The following is a 16,464-nucleotide window of genomic DNA, read 5'->3' as shown; positions in this document are numbered from 1 at the left end:
GAGGGACACCCTATATGTCAAGAGAGCTCCAGGGGGTGGGTAATTTCTTTCATAATTGCTAGAAGAGCCAATTCTGAATATGAGGCTTTTTCTGTCTGCTTTATTACAACCAGAGATGGAATAGGAAGGCTTTCAGTTACAGTTTATCAATTCCTTCTGCTTTTGCCAGTTAATCTCTAGCTTTACTCTTTTGAAAAAACTACCTGTTTCCCACTCCACTTCTGCTACCACCACTACCAAGTCAGAGTCCTCTTTCTATTCCAGCCAAACCTCTTCCTGTTCTTGAGAATTGCATCACATTCTTGGCTTAACGTAACCAACACCCCCACATTGGCACCAGGGAGTGTGTAGCCCTTCTTTATTGGCTGAAAGTTCTTGTCTGGTGAGCATGGAATAAGTCACTCACTTCCTGAATTTCAGCCCTGGCTAAATTTGCTTCTGGAAAAACATATATATATTCCTCAGATTTTTGTCTGTTGGTTTGCAAATCTCCTTCACTCCAGCCCTGTCCTGGAATGAGCAAGATTTACCAAATAGGGACAGCGTGAAAGGGAATTTAGAGGGTAGAGGTAGAGGGAAAAGGAATAGTATGTGTAGCTTGCTGAATGAGATGTCTGCTCTTGCTGTTTCCATTTCTTCACTTCTCAAACAATTTTTAACCCAATCTAAACTGGCATCAGCTCCCATTGTATTGAAAGGGCTTTCACTCAGGACACTAACGCCCCCCCGCCACCTCCCATATTACTAAATCCAGTGGATACATCAGCCTTGATCTTACTTGGCATCAGGGTAGCATGTGATGCTTTTGGTCACATCCTCTTTGATAGATTCACTCTTCCTTTGCACTATTATTTTTTCTCTATCTTAGTCATGGGTCTTCAGCATCCTGTGCAAGCTCCTCTTTACTCCTAAAGTACTGGTGTTCCTCAGAACCCTGTTCTATATCAGCCTCTTTTCTCTCTAAACATTTTCTGTGAGAAATATCATCCCTTTCCATGGCATTATTGAGATCCATCTGCCAATTATTTCCAAATCTCTATCTTCCCTGACCTCTTTTGACTGCTTTCTAGAACTTCTTCAATTAGAAATTCCTGAAAGCCTGTTAACCAACTCCCTCCCTCAAACCTATTCCTCCAATAATGCTCCTCATCCAAACATATGCCACACCATCTACCCAGTTTTTCTAGGCAGAAATGTAGGATTCATCCTTAATGCCTCTTTTGCTCACCTTCCACATTCAGTCAATAACCAAATTCAGTATAATCTACATATTTGAATCCATCAGTTTCTCCCTGTCCCCACTGGCCTAAGTGATCACCATCTATGTGGCGTTTTGCACATCCCTTTGCTAGTTTCCTGCCCCCAGGTTTTCTCCCCTTGGATCATTTTCCACTAACCACTAGATGGTTCTTTATGTAAATGCAGTTCTGTAAATTCACCACTTGTGTTTAAAATCCTTTAGTTGCTTCTCACTGTCCTTAGGATGGAGTCCGAACTTCTTATCACGGTTCATAAGCCTCTCATGATCAGTAACTTGCCATCAGTCTGAACTCCACTCACACTGACCTCCAGTGTTTCAAACATACCCTGCTTCCTTTTGCCTCTAGGCCTTCACAGATGCTGTTTCCTCTGCTCGGAGCGTTCTACTGTAGGGCCTCTAACATCTGTAGACTAAATTCTAGCCTCAAATTATCAGTTATCTTATTCCTGAATCAGAACTGAACTGGGATTCTTAATATTTTTTTTATTAATTCTTGAATTAAAGCCAGGATTTATATTATCCTATATATTTCTTTGAAAAATGCAAAGATATTTTCTAATGAAACTGTATTTGAACTAATTAACTTAGGGTTCAGTTTTTAAAAATCATAGCTGAATGTAAACTGGAACGTATTTTTTTTCATGGTACTGGAATGTTTTCTTGGTTGTTATTCATCATGACATTCTAGCTTTGGAATTTTTCATTTCCAGCTGACTTCTAGCAGTCTCCTTTCTTACCTCTCAACCCCTTACACTCTGGTTGCCCTATACTTGCCCCTAGATGGATCCAGTTTGCATGCAGTGGTAGTTGCTGTGAGGCTGCGGTTAAATAGAGCTGCTCAGACTGCAACAGGAAAGCATTGAATCGAAAGCAAAGGGGAGGAAGCACAAACCGATACCCACCACAAAGCTGCTGAGTGCCCAGCATGACCCAAGCCGCACCCTCTGATGAGGAGTCTTGTGGAGGAGTAAGAAGCCACAGACTTTAATAAACCATCAGCACAGCCTGTCCTCCACTTCCCTGGTCCAGCCTTCCCGGATCACCATGAGTATCACCGGGTACTGACCTAAGAAGCTGGGTGATGACAGAAAAGTGACCAGAAATGTAGAGTCCAGAGGAAGGTACCCGAAATGAATGACTGTAGACCATTTTATCTCAAACTCCCTACACAGTCAAGCGTGGTGAGCACGAAGGTCCGGGGCATGAGAATGTTTCTGAGGAGCTCCCTGCTTGGGGTGATTCCCAGATGAAGACTCCTAAAAATGTTCCCTAAAAATGCCTTTGCTACCTCCCTGAAAGGCTGCTTCTAGTAGTGGCCAAAACAACTTATAAAAATTTTGTAACTAAAAATAAAGCCCTTGCGAGATACAGTTAAGAGAACTTTAAACATACACTAAGGTACGATGACTATTTTTAGATTCCTGACTTCAATGGAGGGAGGAGAAAGGAAGGAGATGGAGCAGCAAAGACATGTGTTACCTACTTGATTTTGCTCATGGCCTACCCTGTTTACATCTGTCCCTTTTGCTATCAAAGGAGATATTAAGGAATTATAGGAAAGGGAATGAAAAGTGTGGAAAAATATATAGGAACTAAGTACAGATTTTAAACACCGGTAAGGTGGAGAACTCCTTGGAAATCTAGAGCTTCACAGTGGCTCTATAATTCACCTGCTCAGGTTCACTACCTCAGAATCTAAGAAGGTGAGATCTGGGCCCTACTTTTGCAGCTGGAAGGTCAGAACACAAAGAATGGAGGTGACTGACTCAGTCTGGAGGAAAGGTTGCTTGGCTTGGCTGGAAGTGGGCACTTGTGTCATCATAGAGTGCCAACCTCACACTTCAGATAACAGAACAGGAAATATTGTTAGTTCAGATGGGAGAGCAGAGGACTGACTGTGTATCCAAGACCATTAAGTTATTCAGTCACCTCTTTGTGTTGTACTTTCTATCCTACAAGGGACCAGAGCTGGCTGTGGGGAGCTTGGGCAATAGATGAAGCAGGCCATCAGGCCAGTCCCTGTTCCTTGCAGCTTTCTTCTCCCTTCTATCACGTTCAGCTTCTTTAATCTGCTCAACCCAGAAAGTCTTCCAAGATTGACATCATTACCAAAGTTTAAATGGAAGAATCTCAGGCATTTTGATAGGAGACAGGGGTGACAATTCTGGAGTAGAGGAACTGTCTCTCACAAGGCCTCTCTACTACAAGTGGTAAAAATTTGTGCTTTATTTTAACAACCACAACAACAGTGAATTGGAAAGGATCTAATAACAGAACAGAATTTGTAGTCAGACAACTTTGTTTTGAAACTATTCTTCCTTTCTTCCCTTCCTCCCTCCCTCCCTTCCTTCTTTCCTTCCTTCCTTTCCTTCGGAAAGGAAAGGACAGGGAGGATAGCCATAGAATGGGAAGCTCCTTAGACCTCAGAGGAATGCCGCAAGCTTCCCAAGTCTGAGTGCCTGCCCAGAGTTTGCCTACTTTCTTCAGTAGTCAAGGATATTCCTCAAGTTGTGTTTAATATCTATGCATGAGCCAAACTGTGGTAGGTGGGTGACTGCATTCCCCAGGTGCAATCTTTCAGCATGTGACCTGATGTAGTACATTACATTCCTTAGACAAGGAAAAAATAGCGATATGAATGCAAAGAGGGGGAGGCAGAGAGTGTAAGCTACTCTAAAACACTTAGTTATGAAAGAAGAAAGATTGGCTAGAAAGCATGTATAATAAGGAATGAATTCCATTTTTTTAATTGAGAGAGGTTCAGGAATGTTTATATACTTGAGGAAAAAGCATAGTGAGAGATCTTAACAAGTCACTTCATTCCTAAGCTTTGATACCCTCATCCGAGGTGAGGAGGAGAGGAGAAGAGTTTCTATAAAGATTAAAATTGAATTAAAATCATATGCACAGTAGTGGCTTATATGCCACAAAGCCCTTTACACATGTTAATTTTTATAACTATTATCATCTAGTGACTGTACAGATGAGTAAGCCCTGGTCACAGCTGTTCTATATTTTCTACCCTATATGACAGAGCTGTCAAGAGGAGACAGGCTCTTGAGTAGGCAGGGCTAAGACACATAAATAAGAGGCTAACACTGGTGTGATTTGTATCTTGACATGCTTTGAGCTTTTGGAGGATGGTGTGTGTATGTGTCTGACTTACTAGACGCAATGAGTTACCATTTATTTCAACTTGCCCTGTATTCTTATTTTAAAAATCTTACTTAAAACATGGACACATGTCAAATCCAACATGTCTCTAAAAAGAGCTAATGTTTGGAGAAAATTTTAGAAATATTCACAAACTATGCATCTGATAAAGGTCTATTCAGAATCTATAAGGAACTTAAACAATTCAACAAGCAAAAAATAACCCCATTAACAAGCGGGCAGGCCAGGTGCAGTGGCTCACACCTGTAATCCCAGCACTGTGGAAGGCTAAGGCAGGTAGACTACTTGAGGTCCGGAGTTCAAGACCAGCCTGGCCAAGATGGTGAAACCTCCCCTACTAAAAATACAAAAATTAGCCAGGTGTGGTGGTGCACACTTGTAATCCCAGATACTCGGGAGGTTGAGGCAGGAGAATCGCTTGAACTCGGAAGGTGGAGACTACAGTGAGCTGAGATGGTGCCACTGCGTTCCAGCCTGGGCGACAAAGTAAGACTCCGTCTCAAAAATAAATAAATAAATAAATAGAATACATTTAAAAAGTTGGAAAAGGACATGAACAGATACTTTTCAAAAGAAGTCATACAAACAGACAACAAACGTGGAAAAATACTCAACATCACTAATCATTAGAGAAATGCAAATCAAAACCACGGTGAGATACCATCTCACACCAATCAGAATGGCTATTATTAAAAAGTCAGGCCGGGCTCAGTGCCTCACACCTGTAATCCCAGCACTTTGGGAGGCCGAGGAGGATGGATCACCTAAGGTCAGGAGTCTGAGACCAACTTGGCCAACATGGTGGAACCCTGTTTCTGCTAAAAATACAAAAATTAGCCGGGTATGGTGGCACATGCCTGTAATCCCAGCTACTCAGGAGGCTGAGGTAGGAGAATTTCTTGAACCCGGGTGGCAGAGGTTACATTGAGCCAAGATCGCACCATTGCACTCGAGTCTGGGTGATAGAGCAAGACTCTGTCTCAAAAAAAAAAAAAAAAAAAAAAAAAAAAAAAAAATAGTCAAAAGCCACAGTTGCTGGCGAGGCTACCAAGAAAAGGGAATGCTTATCTATTGTCGGTGTGAATGTAAATTAGTTCAGCTACTGTGGAAAAGTAGTTTGGTGATTTCTCAAAGAACTTAAAACAAAATTACCGTTCAACCCAGCAATCTTCATTACTGAGTATATATCTAAAGGAAAATAAACCATTCTACCAAAAAGACACATGCACTCACATGTTCATCACAGCACTATTCACAATAGCAAAGACATGGAATCAATCTAGGTGTTCATCAACAGTGGATTGGATTTTTTAAAATAGGGTATATACATAGCATGGTATAATACACAGTCAAAAAAATGAGTGAAATCATATCCTTTGTAGCAACATGGATGGAGCTAGAGGTCATTATCCTGAGTGAATTAAGGCAGAAACAGAAAACCAAATGTGTTAGTAAGATCTCACAAGTGGGAGTTAAGCATTGGGTACTCATGGACATAAAGATGACAACAATAGGTACTGGGGACTACTAGAGGCAGGAAGGAGGAAGGGGGACAAAGCTTGAAATACTTACCTATTGGTCACTATGCTCATTATCTAGGTGAGGGGATCATTCACACCCCAAACCTCAGTGTTATGCCATATACCCATGTAACAAACCTGCACATGTACTCCTGAGTCTAAAATAAAAGTTAAAATTATTTTTTAAAATAAATAAATAGATCGGGCGTGGTGGCTCACGCCTATAATCCCAGCACTTTGGGAGGCTGAGGCGGGTGGATCACTTGAGGTTAGGAGTTCAAGACCAGCCTGACCAACATGGTGAAACCCCATCTCTGAAAAATACAAAATTAACTGGGCGTGGTGGCATGCTCCTGTAATCCCAGCTACTTGGGAAGCTGAGGCAGGAGAATTGCTTGAACCCAGGAGGCAGAGGTTGCAGTGAGCTGAGATCGAGCCATTACACTCCAGCCTGGGCAACAAGAGTGAAACTCCATCTCAAAAAAAAAAAAATTAAAATTAAAAAATAAATAAATAAACAAAATTAAAAGTTGCCATGTTGAAAAACACTAATCCATCTTGAGATGCAAGGATCTGTACAAATAAGACTATATACATGAACTTCAGGTTACATAAAGGAGCAGTTTCTGTTTGTAGGTGGGGGGAGTAAACTTTTTGTGTTTCTTTCTGGCTCATTGCAGGATCACATTATAATTTTGCTTTGATACAAATTTGGCAACAGGAATCATAATTCTTTTTCCAACTGACTACAGTGCTTGTATACTTTTAACGAATAATCGCTGTGAGTTGTACAAAGCCTTATATATTCAACAAATCAGTGAAGTTTTTATCCTCTTAATATTTACTTTGTAGCTTTGCTTTGAACCACCTCAGCCCCAGTTCTACACAGTTGGCAGTAAAGATATCTGCAAATTCCACTCCCCCATTTCCTTTCTGTTTTGCCCTTGGTTTTTCAACAGTGAGATGATTGTGCCTTCATTTCTGGGTGCATCCCTTCACTTATTCCTTATTTCCCTTCTCCATCCCTTACTCCTTCCTTCTCTTCCCCAGGCCTTCACAACCTCTAGATTTTATTACTAGCAACTTCTTAGGCCAATCCCATAGCATGCTCCTTCATGCATTACATGAACAAATTTTTTGAGGGTGCTGAACCAAACAATCAGGTGTCTTTTTTCAAGAGTGAACAAGAAGCCACTTTTTAAAAACAGTTTTACTGAGATATAATTTGTATTCTATAAAATTCGCATTTAAAGTGTACAATTCAATGGTTTTCAGTATATCTATTTAGCAGGGCACCCGTCACCATAATTAATTTTAGAATATTTTCATCATCTCCAAAAGAAACCTTATATTCATTAGCAGTCACTCATCAATTCTGTTCTCCCATACCCCACCCCTTTATTCCCTCTAGTCCTAGACAAACACTAATCTGCTTTCGGTTTCTATGGATTTGCCTATTCTGGACATTTTATATAAATGAGATCATATAATATGTGGTCTTTTGTGACTGGCTTCCTTCACTTAGCAGAATGTTTTTGAGGTTCATCTATATTGTGGCATCTATCTGTACCTCATTCCTTTTTATTGCCAAATAATATTTCATTGTATGGATATTTCACATTTTGTTTATCTGTTCATCAGTTGATGACAAATGGATTGTTTCTACTTTTTGGTTATTGTGAATAAAGTTTCTGTGAACATTTGTGCACAAGTTTTTGTATGGAAATATGTTTTCATTGCTTTTGGGTAGATTCCCAAGATAAAAGAATTGCTGGGTCATATGGTAACTCTATTTTTAGCATTTAGAGGGACTGTCAAACTTTTCCAATGTGGCTACACCATTTTACTTTCCCACTAGCAGTGTATGAGCTTTCCAATTTCTCCACATCCTTACCAACAATTATTATTTTCTGCCTATATTATTATAGCCATTCCAGTGGGTGAAAATTGATATCTCATTGTGCTTTTGATTTATATTTTCCTAGTGACTTTTCATGTGCTTATTTGCATATTTTTCTCTTGAAAAATATCTTGTAATCCTTTGCCCATTCCCAACTTAGATCATTTGTCATTTCTTATTGATTTGTGTTTTTTATATTCTAGTCCCTTAACAGATAGTATAATTTGCAAATATGCTCTCTGATTCTGTGGGGCTGTTCTTTCACTTGTTGGTGTCCTTGAAGCACAGAAGTTTTTCATTTTGATTAAGTTCAACTTATCAACTTTTTTTCTCTTTTATTATTTGTGCTCTTGATGTTGCATCAAAGAAATTACTGCCTAACTCAAAGTCACAAAGATTTACTGCTTAACTCAGGTCAAAAGAGTTAGTTTTCTTCTAAAAGTTTTATATTTTAGCTTCTTTTTTTTTTTTTTTTTCATTTTTTCCATTTTTATTTGATGTTTCCAAATATAAAAAAGTCAGGATGCTTACATCAATTATCTCAAATGAGACCATGCAAAGCAATTCAGTGTATACAACAATCATTTTTCCCCTTCAGTTCTGCTGCTTTATACAACAGTGTGATTGACAGAAAATTGGATGGCATGTGCCTGGTCAGAAAATGTCATCTGTTTACAAAATAACATCATGCAGCACAGTTTCTACTTTGTCTGCAAGTCAATTCACAAAAACTACTTATTTTCTGTTTTTTATTTGGGAGGCACATGGAACTGAAAAATTTAGCTGCCCAATTTTATTCAACTACCCCACCAAAAAAAAAAAAAAAAAATCACAAATGACAGTCCCAACACTCTGCAAATTTTGGAGGGTTGAGATAGTAGACACTATTTGTCATACTCAGCAGAGTTAACTATTTAACAGAAATAAATCTCCCTAGGGCCTTTCCTCTCATTTTGCTAGACTGGGTTCCAGGAGAATCGTGAAGAACCCCTCATGTAAAATTTGAAGTGTGAAAACTGTGTTGTTGCATTATGCAGATTTTTGCTAGTTGCATAGACTAAAGACGTTTTGCTAAATGGCACTGAAAATCCTTACCGAGTGTCACTATTCAGTACAAGTGTTTCTGACCAAAGAAAATTATACAACAATATTTATAGGCTAACTTTAAAGAGATGGTTGACGTTAATACTGTACATATTTTACATGTCAAATACATAGTCCAAGAGTTTATAAAATAAATTCATGCATCATTACCTTATTACCTCTAAGAATATCATGTACAAGATGGGCACTCCCCCACCCCCCCAGTACTTATGACAGCATTTCAGGTGGAAGCAGTCTTATATACAAAAACAATCCAGTTTCTCTGCTATGTTAAGTATATAATTTAAGGAAATTTCAGAGATTACTGACCAAAAAAATCTTAGTCCATTGAAGATAGAAAGTGTCAATTTGTGGGATTTAAAATGTTTCCTTTATAAAAGAACACCCAGAATATGTAACCTCTGTACAAAGAAAAAAATATACAAATTCTGGATGATCATGTTTGATCACACTACGTACTTGAAATGTTGCTGGTTAAAAGTTTTTCTGCTTTACTCATTCCTTTGACAGCATTAATTTGTGAACATTTATATTCAGTTCAGCTGTATTTATGGCACAAGATCTCATTTCCAAAATGGCACTAATTTTCCTTAAGTGTAACAGCACTCTATTTTTAGCAGTAATTATATTTTTAAAGGTTAATTTGTAGAACAAATGTTTTAACTATACTTTTTTTCTACTCTATACTCCCCAGTTACAATATTTACAAAGGGCTGAAGTCTATATAAAAAAATGATCTTTGGCTGGGCATGGTGGCTCATGCCTGTAATACCAGCACTTTGGGAGGTCGAGGCAGGCGGATCACGAGGTTAGGAGTTTGAGACCAGCCTGACCAACATGAAGAAACCCTGTCTCTACTAAAAATACAAAATTAGCCAGGCATGGAGGCAGGCTCCTGTAATCCCAACTACTCGGGAGGCTGAGGCAGGAGAATCGCTTGAACCTGGGAGGCGGAGGTTGCGGTGAGTTGAGATTGTGCCATTGCACTCCAGCCTGGGTGACAAAGCGAGTCTCAAAAAAAAAAAAAACATCTTTTACTTTCCCCCATCCCTCATTTTAGTCAAACTTCTCCCACCTCATTTCTGCCCTGGTTGGGGAAGTGCAAGAGTTTCAGATAAGGTACCTATGTGTTTTAGATGGGATTCTTGATTTTAAGTGAGTATAAAGTAAAAGACTTAATTCTTAGTTCAGGTATGTTCCAGTGCCTCGAAAGTTAGTTATGTGACAAATAGTACCTGTTGACAACCTAGAAAAGATGAGACATTCTAAGGTGCCCTAACAATCTTCAGTCTCTAACAGCTGAACAGGAAGGCCATTTCACTCAACTGTGATGCGATCATCACTGACTGGCATTTAGAATTAGATTTCAAGACTCCACTCCTGTGGGGGCCACTAAATAACTGAATACATTTTAAGAGCAATCTACACTGAGGGAAATAACGGTTCTAAGGTATTCTGCATAGAAAGAGTATCGATAATGGGAACTGGCAACTGAGCATGCTAAATCAAATTCCATGAATACAGTTTTCATAAGATGTCTTTACTACATGCATTTTGCTAATATTTCCCTAAAATATTCACCAACTCTACAGAGTTATACTTTGTGTTAAGGTACTATTGAGTTATAAGGGAAATAGCCATATCAGGTAGCTAGTGACATAATACCAGTTGTGAAAATTCAGACAAAATGAGTCGACAAATCCCCAAAAATGGCAAATTAAGCCCTGTGACAAAATAAGTTATTGGATCATACAGAAATAGCCCAAATCTGGAAATTTTGAATTAAAATTGTAATCCTGTAAAACAAGTTTTGGGGTGAATGGATTTCTTTAAAACCAATAATATTTTTAATTCCCACCACAGATGGATTTGCTGAATATGCTAATGCTGTGAATGAGAAAACAATTTTGGGGTAGGTATACCCACAAGTAATCTGATGACAAAATAAACCACAGACTGATGTCAAATGGACAAAAAACTGAAAATATGCTGTGAGAAATAGACAACCAAAATAATATAGGGGGTTGTGGGGTGTGGCACAGTTAAGGCATCTAAACAAAAATTCCACATGGCTTTGGCTTATTAAAATATTTTACACTATTTTTTTAAAAAAAGATTTGAAAGCATCTGAAAAACATGCAAATTGTTTGAAAACCTTGCATGGCAAATTCAGACAGTTTGCAAGCGTCAATCAGATGTTTGACGAGGAAACGAAAGAAGCCTCTCCCCATGAGACTGCACATGGTGGGAGAGGCCTACCCAGTTCTCTCTATCTTACACTAGATGGCAACCCAGAGGTCTGTGCAGCGGTTACAAACAAGGCATTATTATCCGGAAGGGAAGGGACTGTAGAATTTCCATTGGCTGGGGAACAACCCAGCTTTAGCTTTTCCAGATACTCTGCATGTACAGGTTTATGACACTGGAGAACTTTGATAGCATCTTCTACTTTGAACCACTCTCTCTTCCTTCCAATATTAACAGAATCTTCCCAATCTTCTAATATTTCAGTGACTGTTAGAACATAAACATATGTTCTGTGCTTTCGGTCTTGGTTCTGCTCAAATATGCCCAGAAGTCTGCCTAGTTTTCCTTTGACTCCAGCCTCCTCATAAACTTCCCTCACGGCAGCACCGCCAGGTTCCTCCTCGGGTTCCATTCCTCCTCCTGGGACAATCCACTGGTCTGGGTACCGGCTGCTACTCACCAGCAGCACCTCGTCCTCCTGCTCGCTCCGGAAGCACAGGCACGCCGCCCGCTTCTTGAAGCCCTCGCGGTCGTAGGTCCGCGTCTGGTTGGGCTTGAACTTCATCATAGAGGCGGGCTCCTGCTGCTGCTGCTGCTGCTCCGGCCGCCGCCGTGGGGGCCCGGCCGCCGCCACCCCGCCGGGGAGTGGGGGCGAGGGCGAGTCGGGCGCAGGAGCGCCCGGGAGCGCTAGTCGGTGCGGGAGGTGCGGCGAGGCCGGTCAGTCCCGGGGCCGGCGGCCGCTCCGACGCGGGCGGGACGGGACGCTAGCGCGGGTCACTGGAACCAGGGTGCCGAGATGAAAGCTCCGCCTCTGCCCAGTTGTCCGCCGCTCTCCATGGAGCCCGACTCCCGCTCGCCTCCGCTCCCTCCAGCCGTAGCCGCCAGGGGAAGGGCGGCTAGAGGCGCGCGCCACGCGGAGACAGTTGCGAAGACCCGCTCCCACTGAGCAGCAGCACCACGGCGACTGTATTTTAGCTTCTACATTTAGGCCTATGATTCACTTTGAGTTAATTATTGTGTACAATCTTAGGGGTCCAAATTAATTCTTTTGCGTGTGGATATCCAGTTGCCCAGCACCACTTGTTGAAAAGACCATTTTTTTTTCCCCATTGAATTGTCTTGGCTCTTTCGTTGAAAATCAATTGATTGTAACTGTTAGGGTTTATTTGTGATTCTCAATTCTGTTCCATTGATCTGTATGTTTATCCTTCTGTCAGTAACACACTGTCTTTGTTACTGTAGTTTTGTTGTAAGTTTTGAAATTGGGAAGTGTGAATCCACCAACTTTGTTCTTCATTGTTTTGGCTTTTATGAGTCCCATGCATTTCCATATACATTTTAAGAGCAGCAGAAATTGACAAGTTGATTCTAAAATTCATTAAAAACCCTCACTTCTAAGAAACAATTAAAATATTTTCTTTCCAACTTAGGATGAAATTGGATAAGGAGGACTGAGCAGGTACATTTTTGAGTTGTGGTGATGGGGGATGGGTCATTTGAAAGGGGGACCAACCTGATGGAGGAGGGGAATAAAGGAGCCACAAAGTTTGGTAAACTTCCCACCCTGGTGAGAGGAATGTTTGTTCAGAGGAGGCAGTTTGTTCTAACACCAGGGAATATTATGAAAGATAATTGAAATTGTAAAGTCCATTGATATCTCCCCAGAAGACAAAAAGGTCTCTAAGTAAGCAGTATTGTTAGCTTGTTGATTCTTACAGAAGAAGATTTTCATCCAACTAAGGGAAGCAGCTGGGACTTTCTCAGGGCTGTAAGACAGAAAAAAAATGAAGAAATCCTTCTGTATCTTTTCTTACCTCTCCCTGTGGCCAGCCCTAACTTTTGTCCATTTTTGTTACCCTTCCCTTTTATAAGCTCCCCAAAAAGAGAGAGAGGAGAAAGAGAAAAAGAAGAAAACCACAGTGGGAGAGAGGGTTAGAGATCCTGGGGATGGGGGAGGAATCCTGGAGCATTTCAAATTAAAGATCCCTAAGGTACTATGGGTGGAACCTACTAAGTAATATGACAACTTGTAGCAAGAGTCATAAGGATGATCACATCTTCAACTCAGTGATCCAATTCCTGGGAATTTATGTAAGGAAATAAGACAGGCAAAAAGTGTGAGTGGGAATGTTAATGAAAATATTACCTATAATAGTGCAAACAGGAACAACCTAAATCACCAAAATAGAAGCATGTTTTATGACATCATGGCATGTAAAGATGGCAGATTATAATACTAGCTTCACTGTCAAAATATACTCTGAATTGTATCACTTTTCACTGCATTCTGTATCACTCTGGATCAAGTCACTATTATTCCTCATCTGAATTATTGCAATGGCCTCCCAACTGGCATTTCTGCTTTCACCCTTGTTCCCCACCCCCGGTCTACTCTCAACACAGCACCCTTAGCAGTCCTTTAAAAACTTAAATGTAAAATTCATATGGAATCATAAAAGGGCCTAAATAGCCAAAGCAATCCTAAGCAAAAAGAACAAATCTGGAGGCATCACATTACCCAACTTCAAATTATACTACAAGGTTATAGTAATCGAAACAGCATGGTACTGATATAAAAGTAGATGCATAGACCAGTGGAACAGACTAGAGAACCTGGAAGTAAAGCCAGATACTTAGAACCAACTGATCTTCAACAAAGCATACAAAAACATAAATTGGGAAAAGGACACCCTATTTAGTAAATGGTTCTGTGAAAACTGGAGAGCCACTGGATAGAAGAATGAAACTGGATCCATCTCTCTCACCACATACAAAAATCACCCTAAGATGGAATAAAGACTTAAATATAAGACCTGAAACCATAACAATTCTAGAAGAAAACATAGGAAAAATTCTTCTGGACTTTGGCCTAGGCACAAAATTATGACTAAGACCCCAAAAGCAAATGCAACAAAAATTTAAACAAATAAACGGAACCTGATTAAACTAAAAGGCTTTTGTGCGGCAAAATATATAATCATCAGAGTAAAGAGAAAACCCACAGAATGGGAGAAGATATTTGCAAGTATCCATCTAAGAAAGGACTAATATCCAGGATCTACAAGGAGCTCAAACAAATCAGCAGGGAAAAAAAAACCAAATAATTCCATTAAAAAGTGGGCAATTTACATGAATAGATGCTTCTCAAAAGAAGATACACAAATGGCCAATAAACATGGAAAAAATTTCAACATCACTGAACATCAGGGAAATGCAAATCAAAGCCACAATGAGATACCACTTTACCCCAACCAGAATGGCCATTGTTAAAAATCCAAAAAGCGATAGATGTTGTCACAGATGTGGTGAAAAGGGAACACTTATACACTGCTAGTGGGAATGTAAATTAATATAACATCTATGGAAAACAGTATGACGATTTCTCAAAGAACTAAAAGTAGCAATCCCACTGTTGGGTATCTACCCAAAGGAAAATAAGTCATTATATCAAAAAGGAAAATAAATCATTATATCTGCACATGTATGTTTATCGCAGCACAATTGACAATGGCAAAGGTATAGAACTAACCTAAGAGCTCATCAACCAATTAGTGGATAAAGAAAATGTGGTATATACATGCCATGGAATACTACTCAGCCACAAAAAAGAATGAAATAATGTCTTGCACAACTTGGATGGAGCTGGAGGCCATTATTTTAAGTGAAATAACTCAGGAATGGAAAACCAAATGCCATATGTTCTCACTTATAAGTGGGAGTTAGCTAGGATTTATGTATTTTGCTCACTACTATATCCTCAGTGTCTTGACTATTCCTGGCACAGAGTAGCTGCTTAATAAATAATTTACTGAATGAGTGAATACATCCACAAAAGTAGTGATTATGAAAATTGGGTCATAATTTGAAAAGTGGAAAGTATGTTACTGTAAGCTGTGATGTGCACAGTGGCTGTGGCAATGTGGTGTAGCATAGTCTGGGAGCTGCAGATGAGAGAGATCTGGATTTGAATCCTGAGTCCACTACTTCCTAGTTATGTGAACTTCGGCAAGTGTACCTAACCTCTCAGTTTTATCATCTGTGGAACAGGTAGAATAATACCTCCTTCATAGCATGGTGAAAATTAAATGAGAAGATGTAGGAAAAACCTGGCACATAATAGGTGTTCTATGAACATTAACTCTCTCTCTTCTCCTAAAGAATATATACACAGTGGGTAAGAATTGCAAAATAATTGGGTGTTTCAAAGACAGGGATGATGCACTTTTATAAAAAAATTTTAATACACAAGTCCTCTCTAAGCATGGATATATATATAAAAACAGTGCCAGACTAGGAGTATGGAGACCTGGGTTCTGGGTTCACCTCTGATGCAGGCTGTGTGACATTAAGCAAATCCTAACCTCTTGGGACTGTCTTTTCATCTGCAAAATGAAGAGGTAGAATTTAGTAAGTTTGCGTCCCATCAATGCTTAAAATTCTATAATTCAGAAAGGCAGGCCATTCTACCTAGTTTCATCCCGCTTTAGCTCAGCCTTACTCAGATATGCTGGCCAGATGTTTCTAATCTTACACATAAAAGACTCTGGTATTCAGAGGCCAAAAGAAACTGGACAATTTAAGAAAAGTACTAAGCAGATGAGTTTTCCTTCTGTCTGATTCTTAAACAGCTACATGACAATTATTCAAACTTAAGAAAACAGGAAAAGAAAAGCAAGTATGCACATTTAGGTTTGAATCAACTATGTGAATATTTAGCCATGAAGAAAAATGTGTTTTTTTGTGTGTGTTTTATTAATTATTATTTGTACAACAACCAAAAAGTAGACGTCAGCAGTTTTCAACTGTAACTATAACCTTGTACCATGTGGCTGTGGGCCAAAGTGCAGGAGGGAGTAGCTGGAAGGGAATCTGGCTAGAGCCTTCCCCTGCTCTGGAAAGCTCGTGGCTTTGTTTTTTTCACATTGCTACACCGAGACGGAGGAGGGGAGGATGTTTGGGTTTACAGGCCACCAGCCACTGTCAGCAAGTTTGTAGCCCCAGCTTCACTTCCCTGAAAGGGCGGGGGAGTTTCAGCTGCCCTGGCCTCCCTCCAGCAACTGAGCCACAGAGGATTCAAATACCCCATCAGTTGCAAGGCCCTGACTTTACCCAGCTGAAAACTGACTATCTCATCTGGGAAGGGTCAGTTAAAAAATGACAGAACTGCCTAAAGTAAACAAAGGGAACAACCACAACAGAAACTTTCTCTGCAGTGTTTCCTTATAATTACCGGCCCATCCCACCAGGGCTCTGGCTTG

At 40.0% G+C, this 16,464-nt stretch overlaps 1 protein-coding gene across 1 annotated transcript; it reads right to left on the bottom strand.

The window, feature by feature from the left end:
• Window positions 1-8,311: 8,311 nt before the first annotated feature.
• On the bottom strand, window positions 8,312-11,953 carry NUDT4B (nudix hydrolase 4B). Its single transcript, NM_001355407.2, has one exon. The coding sequence runs from the start codon at window positions 11,772-11,774 to the stop codon at window positions 11,229-11,231; it is 546 nt and encodes a 181-aa protein (NP_001342336.1). The 5' UTR covers window positions 11,775-11,953; the 3' UTR covers window positions 8,312-11,228.
• Window positions 11,954-16,464: the final 4,511 nt, after the last annotated feature.

This window comes from Homo sapiens, chromosome 1, assembly GCF_000001405.40.
Source record: "Homo sapiens chromosome 1, GRCh38.p14 Primary Assembly".
Lineage (NCBI taxonomy): Eukaryota > Metazoa > Chordata > Mammalia > Primates > Hominidae > Homo > Homo sapiens.
Note: the sequence above shows the minus strand (reverse complement) of the source record. Positions and strands in the feature narration are given on the sequence as shown.